At 34.7% G+C, this 17,095-nt stretch overlaps 1 pseudogene; it reads right to left on the bottom strand.

The window, feature by feature from the left end:
- On the bottom strand, positions 299-1,077 carry MRPS33P3 (mitochondrial ribosomal protein S33 pseudogene 3; annotated as a pseudogene).

The raw sequence follows: 17,095 nt of genomic DNA, 5'->3' as shown, positions 1-17,095 counted from the left end.
TCTGGCTTTTTCCTTTGTAGCATGTAATACAATTGTATGTAATTATGTAATATTTAGTCCCTCCCACAAGACAGAAACTTACATGAGGTAGGGAGTATTTCTCTTGCTAATCACTTGTATTACCAGGGCCCCAGTATCTTGTATAGAGCAGGTATTCAATATTTCCTTTCTAGGTAAGGGAAGTATGTTAAAAGATATTTATCCTGCAAATTCATCTTAATAGATTTCTCAAAGGAGTAGGTGAAGAGGCACAGAAAATTTGTGAGCTTGGTGGTGGAGACAGTGGCTGCAGGGCCCTAGATTAAAGAAGTTTAGGGCTGGGTGAGTAAGTAAGCAAGAAGCGAGAAATGAGGACACTATAGGACGCTCAGTTAATGAGGTTTCCACTCCATTGCTCCAACATCCCACCCCACCCCAAACCATTAAATATTAGCTTATGTATTCACTTCATTAGAGAATTAGGTAAACCTCACATTACACGGCCAAGGCCAAAAGAGTTTTGCACGGTTAGAATGTGTTCAACAAACCAGTCACAATTTAACTGGAATAGATTTCAACTAGGAGATGATTGTGTTTCTCCAAATAACCTTCATTTCAGAAGATGACATTCCTCCAATATGTGGAAAGGCAATAAATGCACTTTCTTCTCTCTGCCACGGAGGAAGAAATTCTCCCTCTTGAGGGAGCGACCCTATTTCCTTTTTGCTGCTCTTTTCCCTTCTCGTTTCTTTGGTTTCTCCTTTCCACGAAGCTTCTTTAGTCCTTTTTGCTCATCTTTAAAATCTTGATGCTTATCTCTGTAGAGTCCAAGAAATTGGAGTGTCCCCGTGAGTGCAGTATTAAGTATTGTGATCTGGATATCAGTCATAAATTTCCTTTTTCTTGGCCACGGGAGGTTCACTAAATAGTTTCACCACTTTCATAGCCTTGGAATCAGTAGGCCTGGCGACTTGACAAAATAGCCGAGCACTGAGAGGAGACATGCGCAAAGCATATTCTGAAAGGGAGGACATTTCTTGAGTGGCAAGGAGCTAGAGTTCCTGGACTTGACCTTCCTCACCTACCGCGCCCTCTTCCAGACTCCTAGCTCACGCTGGCGACTATTACCCCTACCTGCTTCTTATAACAAACACACATAAAGAAACATATTTTAACTGATAAAATATGTAATCAGATATTTAATAATTGCTATTCCTTCAAGTCATCCTCTTTAACACAAGTCACTTTTTTGTCATTACCTTATTCTTTTGTACTTTGTTATTAAAATGACTAATATGAACTTTTCACTGATTGATTCTCTTCTCTGTTAATCCATATAACAGATTTTCTTTGTAATTTGAATTTTAACATTGATTTTTTAAAATATTTATGAGCATATAAATTATTTACTAGAAATCTCTTGCTTTCAGGTATTGTATTCTTCAGACAGAAACATTTAGGGAAATTCTTCTTGTTGAAACCTTCAGTTTAGGCCTGACAGTTTTCTTTTGAAATGGTAGCAGCATTGAGTCTCCAGCACTCATTATTGTCTTTTATATGCACATAACATAATTAAATGCAGATGTTACTTCAAAATTGATTGATAACTGAGAAATTTATTGGGGTTTTTTTTCTGCTTTTATGAAATACAAGTTCATTAAGATTTTAGTAGAGAAGATTTAGCAGACAGAAGTAAACCATAAGGTCTGGTAACTTTTTTTTTTTTTTTTGGAGATATTCACATTGAATATCTCTTTATCAAGTTCCAAAAGTTATGCTGCTCCCTTTAAGATCTAGCTCAAATATAGACAAAATCACCTATCCTTAGTTCTTATGAATCTCATAATGAGCTTTTGATAAAACACCGAAAGCCAAAATTGACAAATGGGATCTAATTAAACTAAAGAGCTTCTGCACAGCAAAAATTTTTAAATGAATTAAAAAGCATTAAAAAGTTTACAAAGCCATTTTTTAAATCATAGGTGTCTCATTTCATTCCCTTTACCCAAAATATTAGCTGTTTCTTCACATCAATAAATGGGTATCATTTAAGTGATAATGTACCAGGCTTCCTTCAGTCAAAATGCTGAATACTCATATTTTATTTAGAGAGGATCTTCTCTTAACCAACTTGAACGTTTTAAAATCAAATTTAGAGAATTTAGTTTCAACCTTAAATGCTACTTTGGCACCATTTGGAACTCTTTCAAAATTTTGGTGTATGATCTAAAGAACTTTATCTTTAAATAAATTAGTTGAAATGTTAGCTGTGTAATGCTAGATATCCTCTTCTGGTGAAATAAGCCAAAGTACTGAAAAACAAATACCACATTATCTCACTTATAGGTGAAGTGTAAAAATGTTGATCTCATAGAAGTAGAGAGTAGAATGGTGGTTAGCAGGGACTGAGGGATGGGATCTGGGTAGATGTTGGTGGAAGAATACACAATTTCAATTAAGAGTAAAGGAATAAGTTCAAGAGATCTATTACTCAGCATAGTGATTATAGTTAATAACAATGTAATGTATTGTATGCTTGAAAGTTCATAATAGAGCAGATTTGAAGCATTTTTCACCCCAGAAATGTTTGTGAGACAATACATATGTTAATTATCTCAATTTAGCCATTTCACAGTGTGTACACATTTCAAAACAGCATGTTGTATACAATAAATTTATATAATTTTTGTCAGTTTAAAGTGTATTTTAAAAAATAAAAAACTACAAATAACAGTAATTTCCTATGTACATGGCAGGATGACTTTCTTATGCATAATAGAAATGTGAATAAATTACAGTAATAATTGTCCAGGTATTTTAATAGTGAAAGAGGCCAGAAAAATTCTCAAGGTGCAAAAAGAAATTTTAATTTACTAAAATGCACAAAGCAAAGCACAAAGCAATTTGGAAATGACGGATAATTTCATTATTAATGCTAGTTAGCTTTGAAAACAGAGATGTTATTGAATTGTTTGTTATTATGTTGAAACCTATAACCATATTTTGAATTTTTAACCATAACATACAATATGTTTGAACAATCTTTCAACAATAAAAATATATTCATCTATCAATCACCTGAAAATGTTCTTTACATAACATGCTTGCAGTATTCTTGAAAAATTCTCAAGTATATGGAGGGCTTACACCAAACTATTTTCATTAATTCTAGATATATAAAAAATATTAAAACTTATTTTCCCTTCAGTCAGTAACAAGCTTCCTTTCAGAAATGCGGAGGTGGAAGGAGCATTATAAGTGTGCCTTATCAGATGCCTTTTCTGGAATCCTGTCCATGAACTTCGTATTGCAACAATGATCTGCATAATCACAAGCTGCCAGAGGGACTTCATTATTCTATAACTATATATTTATTTTAATAGTTTCTCTGTCCCCCTTTATAAACTGTAAAATGAGGCTTAAATATTGAGTAGGGCTGGGCACAGTGATTCAAGCTTATAATTCCAGCACTTTGGGAGGCCAAGGCTGGAGGATTACTTGAGCCCAGGAGTTCGAGGCCAGCTTGTGCAATGTAGTGAAACCCTGTGTTTACACAAAATTTAAAAAAAATAGTCATGCATTGTGGCTTGCACCTGGAGTTCCAGCTACTGCAGAATCTAAGAAGGTATGATCACTTGAGCCCAGCAGGTTGAGGCTGCATGAGCCGTGATTGCACCACCACACTTCAGTATGGGCAGCAGCAAGACCATGTTTCAAGACAACAACAACAAAACTAAATAAGAGTATGGCTTTATTCACCAACAGGTGATAGAACTAAGCTATTCAGTCTCTAAAACCAAGGCCTGTTAGTAAAAAGATAAAGAAATAGAAAAGATAGCGTAATACATGCCACTGAAAAAGTTTCACATTCAATCACATTTCTGGTGTATTGGTGGTGTACTTGAAATTTCTATTGGTGAAGGAATTAAAAAAATCTAAACTATCCGCAATACTATAAGAATGGCCTAGGGAGATCAGTAGCTGAGATGTTGGCAAGAGTTATCTCATTTCTTCACACAAAGAGACGAGGTGGCAGATGAACAGAGGGATAGGTCTATATCAGAGGACTTCTTAAAAGTCACTCTAACTCTACCCATCCTGTGCTGATTCAAAGTCCTTTTTTTATTCATTTGTTCTCATGCTACTAATAAAGACATACCAGAGACTGGGTAATTTATAAAGAAAAGAGGTTTAATCCACTCACAATTCAGCATGGCTGGGGAGGCCTCAGGAAACTTGCAATCATGGCAGAAGGGGAAGCAAACATGTCCTTCTTCACATGACAGCAGGAAGGAGAAGAATGCAAGATGAACCAAGGCAGAAGCCCCTTAAAAAACCATCAGATCTCATGAGAACTTACTATCACCAGAATAGCATGGAGGAAAGCACTCCCATGATTCAGTTACCTCCCACTGGATCCCTGTCACCACACATGGGGATTATGGGAACTACAATTCAAGGTGAGATTTGGGTGGGGACACAGCCAAACCATATCACCTTTCAACATAAATGTTAATATCCTTCCACTCCTGGCCTGATGGTTTTTGTACTCCTTTCCTCAAAGGACTTTTCCTTTGCCCATATTTGAGCCTCTCACTTCCATGTTTGCACCCTAAACCTTATCCTCACAAATTCTTGCAATTCCTCCTGTATTAGTTTCCTATTGCTGCTGCAACAAATTACCACAAATGGAGAGGCTTAAACAATTCATAGATATGGCCTTACAGTTCTGACAGATAAAAGTGGAATTCACTGAGCATAAATCCAGGTGTCAGTAGGGTTGCATTTCTTTTGGGAGCTCTAAGGAAGAATCTGTTGCACTTTCAAACTGCTAGATGTCACCTGCTTCCCTTAACTTATGGCATTCCTCATGAATCTTAAAAGCCAGTAAGAACAGATGAAGTCTTTCTCCCTTCAAGTCATTGTGACCCCCTTTTCTGTCTCCCTCTTACAGGGACCTATGTGATTACATCAGGGTCACCCAGATAACCCAGAATAATCTTCCTATTATAAATTCAGCTGATTACCATTTAATCCCACTGTAACTTTGATTCCCCTTGCTTTGTAAGGTAACATATGCACAGGTTCTAGAAATTAGGATGTGGACCACCTTGGGGACCATTGCTCTACCTACCACACCTCAGCATTTCAGTTTTAAACATCTAATTCTTTGACCAACACCTCCTTTTTCCAAAATAGCAGGAATTTCCAATCTACATGGCAGGAAGACTTTCTTATGCCTAATAGTAATGGAATAAATTACAGTAATAGTTGTCCAGGTATTTTACTAGTGAAAGTGGCCAGAAAAATACGGTGAGAACAGAAATTTTTATTTACTAAAAGGCACAAAGCAAAGCAGAAAGCAATAAATCTCATTCATCTAGCATCTCAACTCCAATATTTTGATCTACTAAGACCCACGAATTGATGTTGGAAACTTTTCACTATCTCTCTTTTCCCCCAGGTCTTCATGCCCCACCTTTAATTGGAAGTACAATAATTATAATCACCCCTGATAAATACAAATTCCATATTTGTCCTCTCTTTAATTATAAACTTTTGACAAAATGCCAACTTTGATTATATCTCACTCCTTAATTTTCATTTGCTTTAATGCAGCTGAAAGTAGCAGGTAAAAATTCTCGGACTAATTATACTTTACATTCATGGCCAGTACCTACATTTTTTTGGCTTATTTACCACACCTTTCTCCTAGATGTTTATTTTTTAAATTTTTTTCATCTCTTCAAATGTTAAATATTTCATTCTCATCTTCCCTTTCAACCTTGTTTCTTGCTTCACCCAGGAAATGGAAGACATTAAAAAGACCATACACAAGCCCACATCATCTTATTTACTATCTACTGCCTCCATATATACTGCCTTCCTTTCTATTACTCTAGAAGAACTGTCTATACTATCAAAAACTAAGTTATCATTTCATTAACAGATTCCTCCCTTCTCTCTTACTCAAGGACGTTATTTCATTAGTTCACCATTTCTCTTTTCTATCATGGTTTCTCATTTTCATTGGATCTTTCGTATCAGTCTACAAATATGTTGTGATTAGTCTAATCTTAAAATAATAAAATATTCTATTATTTAATATCTATTTTTGTTTTCTTCACCAGAAAAACTTGTCAAAACTATTATCTGTCCTCACTGTTTCAAATATCTCTTCTACTCTTTGAAATTCACTCAAAATGAAATGTTGTCACTATATTCCCCCAGAAAATTTTAATTTTTTATTTTATTAATCTTTTTTATTTTCATTTGTCTAGGTTTAGGGAGTACAAGTGCAGTTTTGTTACATATATTGCATAGTGATGAAGTATAGTTTTAGTATCTCCATCACCTAAATAGTGAACAATGTACCCAATAGGTAATTTCTCATCACTCACCCATTCTTACCCTCCCACATTTGGAGCCTTTCATGTCTATTATACCACTCTGTATGTCTATGTTTACACATTATTTAGTTCCCGCTTATAAGTGAGAACATGCAGCAATCAACTTTCTGCTTCTGAGTTATTTAGTTTAAGATAATAGGCTCTACTTCAATCCAGGTTGTTGCAAAAAATATGAGACATCATTATTTTCATGGCTGAGTAATATTCCATAGTATAAATATACCACATTTTCTTTATTAAATCCTCGATTTATGGACATTTAGGTTAATTCCATGACTTTGGTTTTGTGAATAGTGCTGCAATAAGCATTTGAGGGCAGATGTCTTTTTTTGATGTGACAATTTCTTTTGCTTTGCGTAGATATCCAATAGTGGGATTGCTAAGTCAAATGGTAGTTCTATTTTTAGTTCTTTGAGAAATATCCATACTGTTCTTCATAGAGGTTGTATTAATTTACATTCACACCAACAATGTATAAGTATTCCTTTTTCTCTACGTTCTCACCAACATCTGTTGGGGTTTTTTGACTTTTTAATAATAACCATTCTGAATGGTGTAAGATGGCATTTCACTGTGGTTTTAATTTGCATTTCTGTGATAATTAGTGATACTGGGCATTTTAAAATGTTATCTGCTTATGTCTTCATCCTTTTCCCACTTTTTTTTCTTTTTCTTTTTTTTTTTTTTTTTTACAGACAGGGTCTTTTTCTGTTACTCAGGCTGGAGCGCAGTGCTGCCATCTCAGCTCACTGCAACCTCTGCCTCCTGGGTTCTAGCCATCCTCCTGCCTCAGCATCCTGAGTAGCTGGGAGCACAGGCATGTGCCACCATGCTCAGCTATTTTTTTTTTTAATTTTTAGAAGAGACAGGGTTTCACCATGTTGGCATTTTGCCCACTTTTTAATGAGGTTATTCAATTTTCTTTCTTATTGAGTTGTTTGAGTGCACATAGATTTTGGATATTAGTTTATACTTAGATGCACAGTTTGCAAATATTTTCTCCCATTCTGTAAGTTATCAGTTTGCACTATTTATTTATTTATTTATTTATTTGCTGTGCAAAGCTTTTTAGTTTAAGTCCTATTGATGATTTTTGGGTTTTTTTCTAAATTCCTTTTGAGTTCTTAGCCATCAGTTCTTTCCCTGGGTCAATGTCTAGAAAAGTTTTACCTTGGTTTACCTCTAGGAATTTACAGGTTTGGGTCTTATATGTAAATCTTGACTCCATCTTGAGTTAATTTCAGTATATAGTGAAAGACAAGGGTCCAGTTTCATTCTTCTGCATATGACTATCCAATTTTCTCAGCACGATTAATTGAATAAGGGATCTTTTCCCTTATGTTTTTGTTGACTTTGCAAAGATCACTTGGTTGTAGGAAACTGGCTTTACTTCTGGATTCTCTATTCTGGAACAAAATAGATTTCTGTTCCAGAATATCTTTATCCTGGAAGAGAATAGATTACTGTTCCATAATAGATTTATGTGTCTTTTTATACCAGTACCATGATGTTTTGGTTACAATAGCTTTGTGATGTACTTTGAAGTCAGGCAATGTGATGTCTCCAGCTTTCATCTTTTTGCTGAGGATTCCTTTGGCTATTTGGGCTCTTTTTGGTTCCATATGAATTTTAGAATTGTTTTCTCTAATTCTATGAAAAAAACACATTTGGTAATTTGATAGAAATTGTATTGAACCTGTAGATTGCTTTGGGCAGTATGGCCATTGTAATTATATTGATCTTTGAATTCCATGAGCATGGGATAGTTTTACATTTGTTTGTGTCTCCTACAATTTCTTTCATCTGTGTTTTGTAGTAACCCTTGTAGAGATATTTCACTTCCTCAGTGAAACTTATTCCTGGATATTTTTTGTAGCTATTTTAATTTAGATTGGTTCTCAGCTTGATCATTATTAATGTATAGAAATGTTAGTGACATTTGCATGTTGCTTTGCATCCTGAAACTTTTACTAAAGTCATGTATCAAGATGTCTAGGAGTATCTTAAAAGAATTTGTAAGGTTTTTTTTAAGGTATCAATCAGATCATGAAATATCGTATTTAGATTATAATTTTAATTTCTTTTTTTCAAATTTGGGTGCCTTTTATTTCTTTTTCTCACCTGATTGCTCCAGCTACATCATCCAGTACTTTGTTGAATAGGAGCCATAAAAGTGGGCATACTTGTCTTCCTCCAGTTTTTAGGGGCAATGCTTTCAACTTTTCCCCATCCAGTATAATTTTGGCTATGGGTTTGTTGCATATGGCTTTTATTATTTTGAGGTATGTTCTTCCAATTCTTAGTTTGTTGAAAGTTTTTATCATATCGAGATGCTGAATTTTACCAGGTTTTTTTTTGCATCTATTGAGATGATCATATGGTTTTTGCATTTAATTCCATTTAGGTGGTGAATCATATTTATTGATTTGTGTATGTTGAAAAAGCCCTGCATCACTGGAGTAAAACCCACTTGATTGTGATGTATCATCTTTTGATGTGCTGTTGAGTTTGGTTTGCTAGTAATTTTTTGAGGATTTTGCATCTATGTTCGGTAGGGATATCATCCTGTAGTTTTCTTTCTGTGTAGTGTCTTGCCTGACTTTGGAATCAGGGTGATATTGACATTGTAGAATGAGTTAGGGAGAATTCTGTCTTCCTTGATTTTTTAGAACAGTTTCAGTAGGATTGGTACTAGTTCTTTGTATGTCTGGTAAAATTTAGCTGTGAATTCATCTAGTCCTGTGCTTTTTTTGTTATTGAATTCTAAAATTTCTGATTCAATCTTACCACTTATTAGTAATCAGTTCAGAATTTCTATTTCTTCCTGGTTCAATATTGAGAGGTTGTATATTTTCAGGAGTTTATTCATTTCCTTAGGTTTTCTAGTTTTTGAATGTAGTTGTTCATAGTAGTCTGTGATGATCTTTAATATTTTTGTGATATCAGTTGTAATGTCTCATTTTTCATTTTTGATTGTGCTTGAATCTTCACTCTTTTAATCTTGGTTAAACTAGCTTACAGTCTATCAGTTCTGTTAATCTTTTCGAAGAACAAAATTTTGGGGTTTCTAATGCTTTGTGGGGTTGTGTGTGTGTTTATTTATTTAGTTTTTGGTCTCAATGCTATTTTTCCCTGTTCCGATTGTTACTTCTTTTCTTCTGCCAGCTGTAGGCTTTTCTTGTTCTTGTTTTTCTAGTTACTTGATGTGCAATGTTAGGTTGGTATCCTTTGTAATCTTTGTATCTTTTTGATGTAGGTGTTTAGTGTTTTAAATTTCCCTCTTAAACTGCTTTTGCTGTATCCAGCTATTTTAGTATGTTATGTCGCTATTGTCACTTATTTCAAATATTTTTAAGATTTCTATCTTAACTTTGCTGTTCTCCCAAAAATCAAGCAGGAGGAGGCTTTTTTTCTTTTTTTAAATTTCCATGTATTTGTGTATTCTGAGGGTTCATCATGGTGTTGATTTCTAGTTCGTTTGTTTGTTTGTTTTTCTGCTGTGGTCCAAGAAGGCACGTGAAATTATTTCTTTAAAAAAAATTTACTGGGACTTGTTTTGTATCCTAACATATGATATATTTTAGAAAATGATTCATGAGCTGATGAGAAGAATGTATATTCTATGATTGTTGGGCAGAATATTTTGTAAATATCTGTTAGTTTCATTTGGTGTAGAGTTCTATTTAAGTCCAATGTTTCTTTATTAATTTTCTGTTTCTATGACCCCCTAGTGTTTTAAATGAAATGTTGAAGTCTCTCATCCTATTGCATTGAAATCTATCTCTTTTCTAAGGTCTAGTAATACTTGTTTTATGAATCTGGGTGCCCTGGTGTTGAGTGAAAATGTATTTGGAATTGTTATATATTCTTGTTGAATTGATACCTTTATTATTATACAGTGACTGTCTTTGTCTTTTTTACTGTCATTTATTTAAAGTTTGTTTTAACATATAAAACTATAGCTACTGTTTCTCACTTTTGATTTTTACTTATGTGAAGTATCTTTTTCAAACCCTTTACCTTGAGTCCATAACTGTCTTTACTAGCACGTAATTAGATTCTGTTTTTTACATCTATTTTGCCAATGTATATCTTTTAAGTGGATAATTTAGTCCATTTATATTCAATGTTAATATTGATGTTTTACTCCTATTGTAATGTTAATTTTGTTCTTGTTGCTTTACAGTCTCAATTTTGTAATTGTTTTATAAGACCTGTCAGTTTTCTAATTTTGTATGTTTTTATGATGGTGAGTATTGACCCTTTGTTTCCATGTTTACAGCATTTTTTAGCGTTTCTCATCTGTCTTGTATAGAGGTGACAAATTTCCTTAGTGTTTGCTTGTCTTGTTTCTCCTTCATTTATGAAGCTTAGTTTTAGCAGGATACAAAATTCATGGCTGACAGGTATTTTATTTATTTACTTATTTTTTTTTTTTTTACTTTTTCTTTAAGAGGTCTCAAAATTGGCCTTCAATATCTTCTGGCTTATAAGGTTTCTGCTGAGAAACACACTGTTAGTCTGATGGGATTTTCTTTATAGATGATTAGATGCCCCTCTCTTACTAATTTTAGGATTTTTAAATTCATGTTGACTTCACATACTTGCATTAGTCCATTTTCACACTGCTGATAAAGACATTCCTGAGACTGGGCAATTTACAGAAGAAAGAGGTTTTGGACTTACAGTTCCACATGGCTGAGGAGGTCTCACAATCATGGTGGAAGGCAAGGAGGAGCAAGTCACATCTCACGTGGATGGTGGAAGGCAAAGAGAGGGCTTATTCAGGGAAATTCCCCGTTATAAAACCATCAGATCTCATGAGACTTATTCACCATCACAAGAACAACATGGGAAAGACCTGCTCCCATGATTCAATTACTTCCCACTGAGTCCTTCTCACAACACATGGGAATTCAAGATGAGATTTGTGTGGCGACACAGCCAAACCATATCAATACTCTAATGACTATATGAATTGGTGAAATTCATCTTGCAATGTAGCTTCTTGAAGTTCTTTGACCTTCTATATCTAGAGGTCTAAATCTCTCACAAGACTAGGGAAGTTTTCTTTAATTATTTCATCAAATAAATTTTACATACTTTTATTTTTTCCTTTTCTCTTTCAGGAATACCTACAATTTATAGGTTTAAACATTTTACATAATCCCATATTTCTCAAAAACTTTATTTTTTAAAATCCACTTACTTTATTTTTGGCAGACTGGGTTAATAAAAATGACCTGCCTTTAAGGTCTGAAATTCTTTCTTCTTCTTGGACTAGTCTAATGTTAAAGTCTTCAACCGTATTTTGTAACTCCCTCAATGAATATTTTATTAACAGAAGTTCTGGATTTTTAAAATTAATATTTATCTCTTTAGGAAATCTTTCACTCATATCTTAAGTTATCCTTATGATTTATTTGTATTGGTTTTCACCTTTCTGTTGGAGCTCATTGAGCTTCTTTAAAATCAATGATTTCAATTCTTTATCAGGAATGTCAAAGATTTCATTTTGGTTAGGATCCTTGCTGGAGTTAATGTGATCCTTTGGGGATGTTGTAACACTGTTTTTTCATATTACCAGAATTCTTTTTCTGGTTTCTTCCCATCTGAATAAAATATCTTTTCCTTTTTTCTTGAATTTACTTTCATTTGGATGGGATTTCTTTTCCCCTTGAGGATGTGAATATAATACAAGTTGTATATGGTCATTTGGTTCTAGTTCTGAGTGCTTTTAGTGCCAAAAAACTCTGTAGGAGTTACTTAGTTATAGATTTTTGTGGTAGCTTCCTCAAATGCTGGTTATACTAGTGATGTATTAGGCATATGAGCAGGTTCCCTGCCTCCTGTGGTGCTGGGACAGTGGAGGTCTCAGGAAGCTTATCTTATTCCCCTGTGCTGTACACTCGTGTCGGCAAGTTTTGCATTGGGTATGTAGTTCAACCTCCAGGCCAGATGCTTATGGGTAAAAGTTGGCTGTGGAAGAGACCAATGGGTATAAGCTTCTTTTTCTTTACCAAAAGATGCTCTCTGTGGCCTCAAGGAATGGGTTGGTTTGTGGAATACCCAGTGCCCTCAGATCCATGCTCAGCCCCTGAGGAGGGGACAAAGCTGGATGGAGCTGGTCCACCAATCTCACCCTTGTATCCCTCAGTGGTGAAAAAATGCACCAGCCCTGATGGGGGTTGTAGGGAAGGTGCTGATGAAATGCACTGAGGGTTTTGCAGGTGGTGAGGGAGCTGGCCAAGCTCCATGGCCTGGGCAGGCAGGAGTCCACTTCAGTGGAACATTCTCCTTCAGCCCCAAACACAGATCTGAGGCTTTCCTACTCTCTACTGGAGCAATGCTACCACTCTGTGTAGAGTAGGGATAGGATCTGCATTTCATGCAAACCCAAGCCTGTTGTACACACTGCCAATGGGGGCACTGCCACCCCTAATAGTCCTAGAATGGCCATCCACTTGTACACCTATGCCAGTCTCCTATTGGATCACCCACAGCTGTGTCTGTAGCAGTGAGCAAGAAAGAAAAGTTTCTCTCTCCATGTGTGTGTCTAAGTATGTAGGATGCCTGGAGCAAAGCACAATGTCTGCATCTCTAGTGGAAGAGGTGTAGTCCTTCTCAGCCCACATGCTGGAAGTTCTCAGGTACAGCAAAATACATGCTTTGGTTTCCTTTGTCTCAAGGGATGCTCTTGTCTCTTGATGTTCTGTACTTTCCCTTCCCTTTGCAGCAGCACGCCCTGAGGGCTAGACCACTGGAACTCCTGCAGCTCCCCTGGGTCCAGCCAGCTCTGTGTGGCTGCCACAATCTGAATGGGTACTGGAGAATGTCTGTGGGGGCATTCAGTGATGTGGAGACACAAAGGCTACAGTTCCAGCAGGGCAGAGTCTCACAATTGATATATACCCAGCATAGTAGCTTGCTACTATAGCTCAGGTTTGGAGAAAGGGCGAGTGGCCCTGTGCAAGCTGGTAGTGTAGCATAATGCCCTCAAGAAGTACCCAAATCATTGCTCAACCAAGTGCTTGGGATTGTGAGGGCAGGGGAGCTCTCTGATAGTTTGGAAACAGCAGTCTGCCCCTGGGATGAGGGGAACCAAAAACACTCCCATCTAACCTTTTGACAACATACCAAGTCCCTCTGGGTTCGATCTCTGCTAGCCTCTTGCTTCCTTCTTTTTCTGTCCCCTAGTTCTTTCTGTGACTTCTCTGATAGTTTTTTGCTTACCTGGTCAGGAGGAGCACAATTTTAACAGAGTCATAGTCTTCTCTCAAATGAGAGGTTAAAGGTTGTATATTCATGAGACTTTTGCAGTCTTTCAATGTGGGGATTGAAGAGGGCATTATTGGCACTGGGTAGGGATTATGATGGAATAGTTTAGGATTGTTGGAAACATCAGAGTGAGGGCTTTTAGACAAACATTTTAAAGAATCATGAAGAGTAAGAAGTTAATTGAAATTACCTGTTGAGAAGATGACAACTTTGTTATTCATTAAATAGATCTTTGAGAAGTCCCTGAATAGATAGTAAAGTCATTTGCAACTTTTATTCTTACTGGGCAGAAGTTTCCTGGAGTAGTAAAGTAATATTGCTGTATTGTGGACAGTAAACTGCATGTTAAATGTTTTATTTCCTCAGGAAATATGTTCAAAGATGCTAAGATCCAAGGTCTAGTTGTTTGCAGATTCAGACCTAGGAATTCAAGTCTTCTGAATCACTAGATTGGGATTCTACTTTATCACAACATATTAATATTCCCAATTCTATTATTTATACCAACAAGGATGGAATAAGGTCTAACCTCAAGTTTAATTGACTTAATACGGCATATGAACATGGAGATAGGTTAATTCTAATGGAAAATAATTCTGTTATGAGAATGATGGCAGATAAGGCCAGATTGCCTAAATATCTATATTTGGGAAAACAATAGATATCCCCTTGCAGCAAAATATAAAACACTCCCAAATTTTCACTGAGAGCATTCACGAAGAGTCATTTCCTATGCATCAACAATATACCCTAATTTAATTATTACACATTGTATGCTTGTATCAAAATATCCTGTTTCCCATAAATATGTACAACTATTACGTATCCATAAACATTTTTTAAAACCTAAAATAATATATAATTTAAAATGATGGGTTACAAAATTCCAATATGAGATATAAAGGCATACAATGAAATAAAAAGACCCTGAATTTCTTCCTACAATTCAAGATATTCCAAAGTGCAATATACAATTAAAAAACTAAATTGTCTACATATCTTGAAATCATATAATTTGATTTACTCAGTACTTACTTTGCCTTTATACAACTTAATTTCAATGCTTTTTGTTTGCAAATTTTGATGTTAACAATGATGTCAGTAAACCTTGAAAATGAAAAATTTTTAGCACTCCCTTCATCAAATGCTTGTTTCAAGTTTTTTTAATGCATTAGAAAAGACATAAATGGTGCGTGCCTGTAATCCCAGCTACTTAGGAGGCTGAGGACAGGAGAATCGCTTGAACCAGGGAGTAGGAGGTTGCAGTGAGCAGAGACTGAACCACTACCCTCCATCCTGGCAACAGAGTGAGACTCCATCTCAAAATAATAATGAATAAATAAATAAATAAAATACCACTCTTACTAGAGTAAGATAATATCCATTGTCATTTTAATTTGCATTTTTCTGGTGATTAGTGATGTTCATCTTTTTTTCCCAAGTTTCTTGACCATTTGTATAGCTTCTTTTGAAAAATGTCTATTTCTGTGTTTTGCCCACTTTTTTAATGCTTGTTATTGTTGTTGTTGCTGTTGTTGAGTTATCTGGGTTCCATGTAAATTCTGGATATGAATCCTCTGTTGGATGCATGGTTTGTAAATATTTTTCCCATTCTGCAGCTTCTCTGTTTATTCTGTTGATTATTTCTTTTGCTGTGCATAAGCTTCTCAGAATGGCTATTATTATGATAAGATATGACAGAAAATAACAGATTTTGGCAAGGATGTGGAGAAAAGGGAGTGCTTATATACTCTTGTTGGAAATGTAAATTAGTACAACCTCTATGAAAAATATTATGGAGATTTCTCAAAGAACTAAAAATAGAACTACCATGTCTTTTAGCAATCTCACTAATTAGTATCTACCCAGAGGAAAATAAATGACTATATCAAAAAGATACATGCACTCATGTTTATTTCAGTACTCTTCACAATAGTAAAGATATGAAATAAACCTGCGTCCCTCAAAGGATGATTAGATATAGAAAATGTGATATACATACACAATGGAATGCCACTTAACCATAAAATGAATGACATCATGCCTTTTGCAGCCACATGGATGGAAGTGGAGGCCATTATCTTAAAGAAAACAACTCAGAAATGATAAGAGGAACACTGTATGTTCTCAGTTATAACTGGGAGCTACATAATGTGTACACATGAATATAGAGTGTGAAATGATAGACAATGGTGACTCAGAAGGGTTAGGGGGCGGGAGAAAGGTGGATGATGAGGTATTACTTAGTGGATACAATGTAAATTATTTGAGTGATGGTGATGCTGAAAGTCCAGACATCAAATTAAGCAATTCTACTTACAGTCTTTAAATTTATACATATTTTTTAAAAAAGAAAAATAAATACCTTTATAGGACACTTAGGTTGATTTACAAAATAGTTCTTCAGAAGATGAAATACCTCTAAAATCTGATTGATCACAGCAAAGAAAGCACATCCTGCTAGGCTAAATATATATTCAACACACACACACACATATTATATATGTATGCATATACATATATTCAACAATATGTATGTATATACATATTTTCAACATTAGCTATCAGCTTCTTTACAAAAACATTGTAGTTCAAAACTCTAGCTGTGTATATATACAAATATTTGAAAATTATTAAAGGCACACCTTATCTTGCATTAGAAAAATATTAGATTGTTTGAAATCAATTATGAATTATTTATGCACTACAATTTCAATACATTCCAATTCCACTTTATAACTTATTTAGTAAAAATGTTGCTCTTATGATTATCTGCTTTACCAAAACTTGCACTTTTAATTACAAAACCATTCCTTTTATCTTTAATAGTGAGTTTTAATTGAGTTTATGATAACATGTACAATGATGCTAAAAGTCAGATTAAATTCCAGTAGCTTTTCTTTGATTCCAAGAACTAGAGAAAAAATTTTCAAACCATTATTAAATTTTTATAAAATTTAAAATTTATATTTTACATTTCAGAATGTGCTATTTTCAAATTATTTTTATCTTCTTGTGCTACTTTTATTCTAAAGGCTCAATACTTACATTTCATTTTTCATACATACAGAAAAAAATCTTAGAATTCAAAAGAATAAAAGTTGGCTTAGAAGAAGTCATATGATTTAATTGAAAACACATACTTCACAAAATGATATGTAAGTGCCCTTCTGGAGCTCTGTATGATAAATCATTGTGAGCACATTTGAATTAAACTAGCTGTAACATTTTAACTAGTTCCTAGAACTTGTTTAGCAGACTTGCAGTGGTTGTCTTCATAAGAAGTAATATCACATAGCCTTTAGTGATTCTATCAACATTTTTTGAAAAGGGAAATAAAATACTTTTTTAAATTAAACATGGACTTTTAAAAATCGGATTGCTGCAAAGTACTATTGCAACATAAAAAGTATTTTCAAATAGTAACA

The sequence above is a fragment of the Homo sapiens genome, chromosome 4 (genome assembly GCF_000001405.40).
Source record: "Homo sapiens chromosome 4, GRCh38.p14 Primary Assembly".
Lineage (NCBI taxonomy): Eukaryota > Metazoa > Chordata > Mammalia > Primates > Hominidae > Homo > Homo sapiens.
The sequence above is the reverse complement of the archived record's forward strand: the minus strand, read 5'-3'. Positions and strand labels throughout refer to the sequence as shown.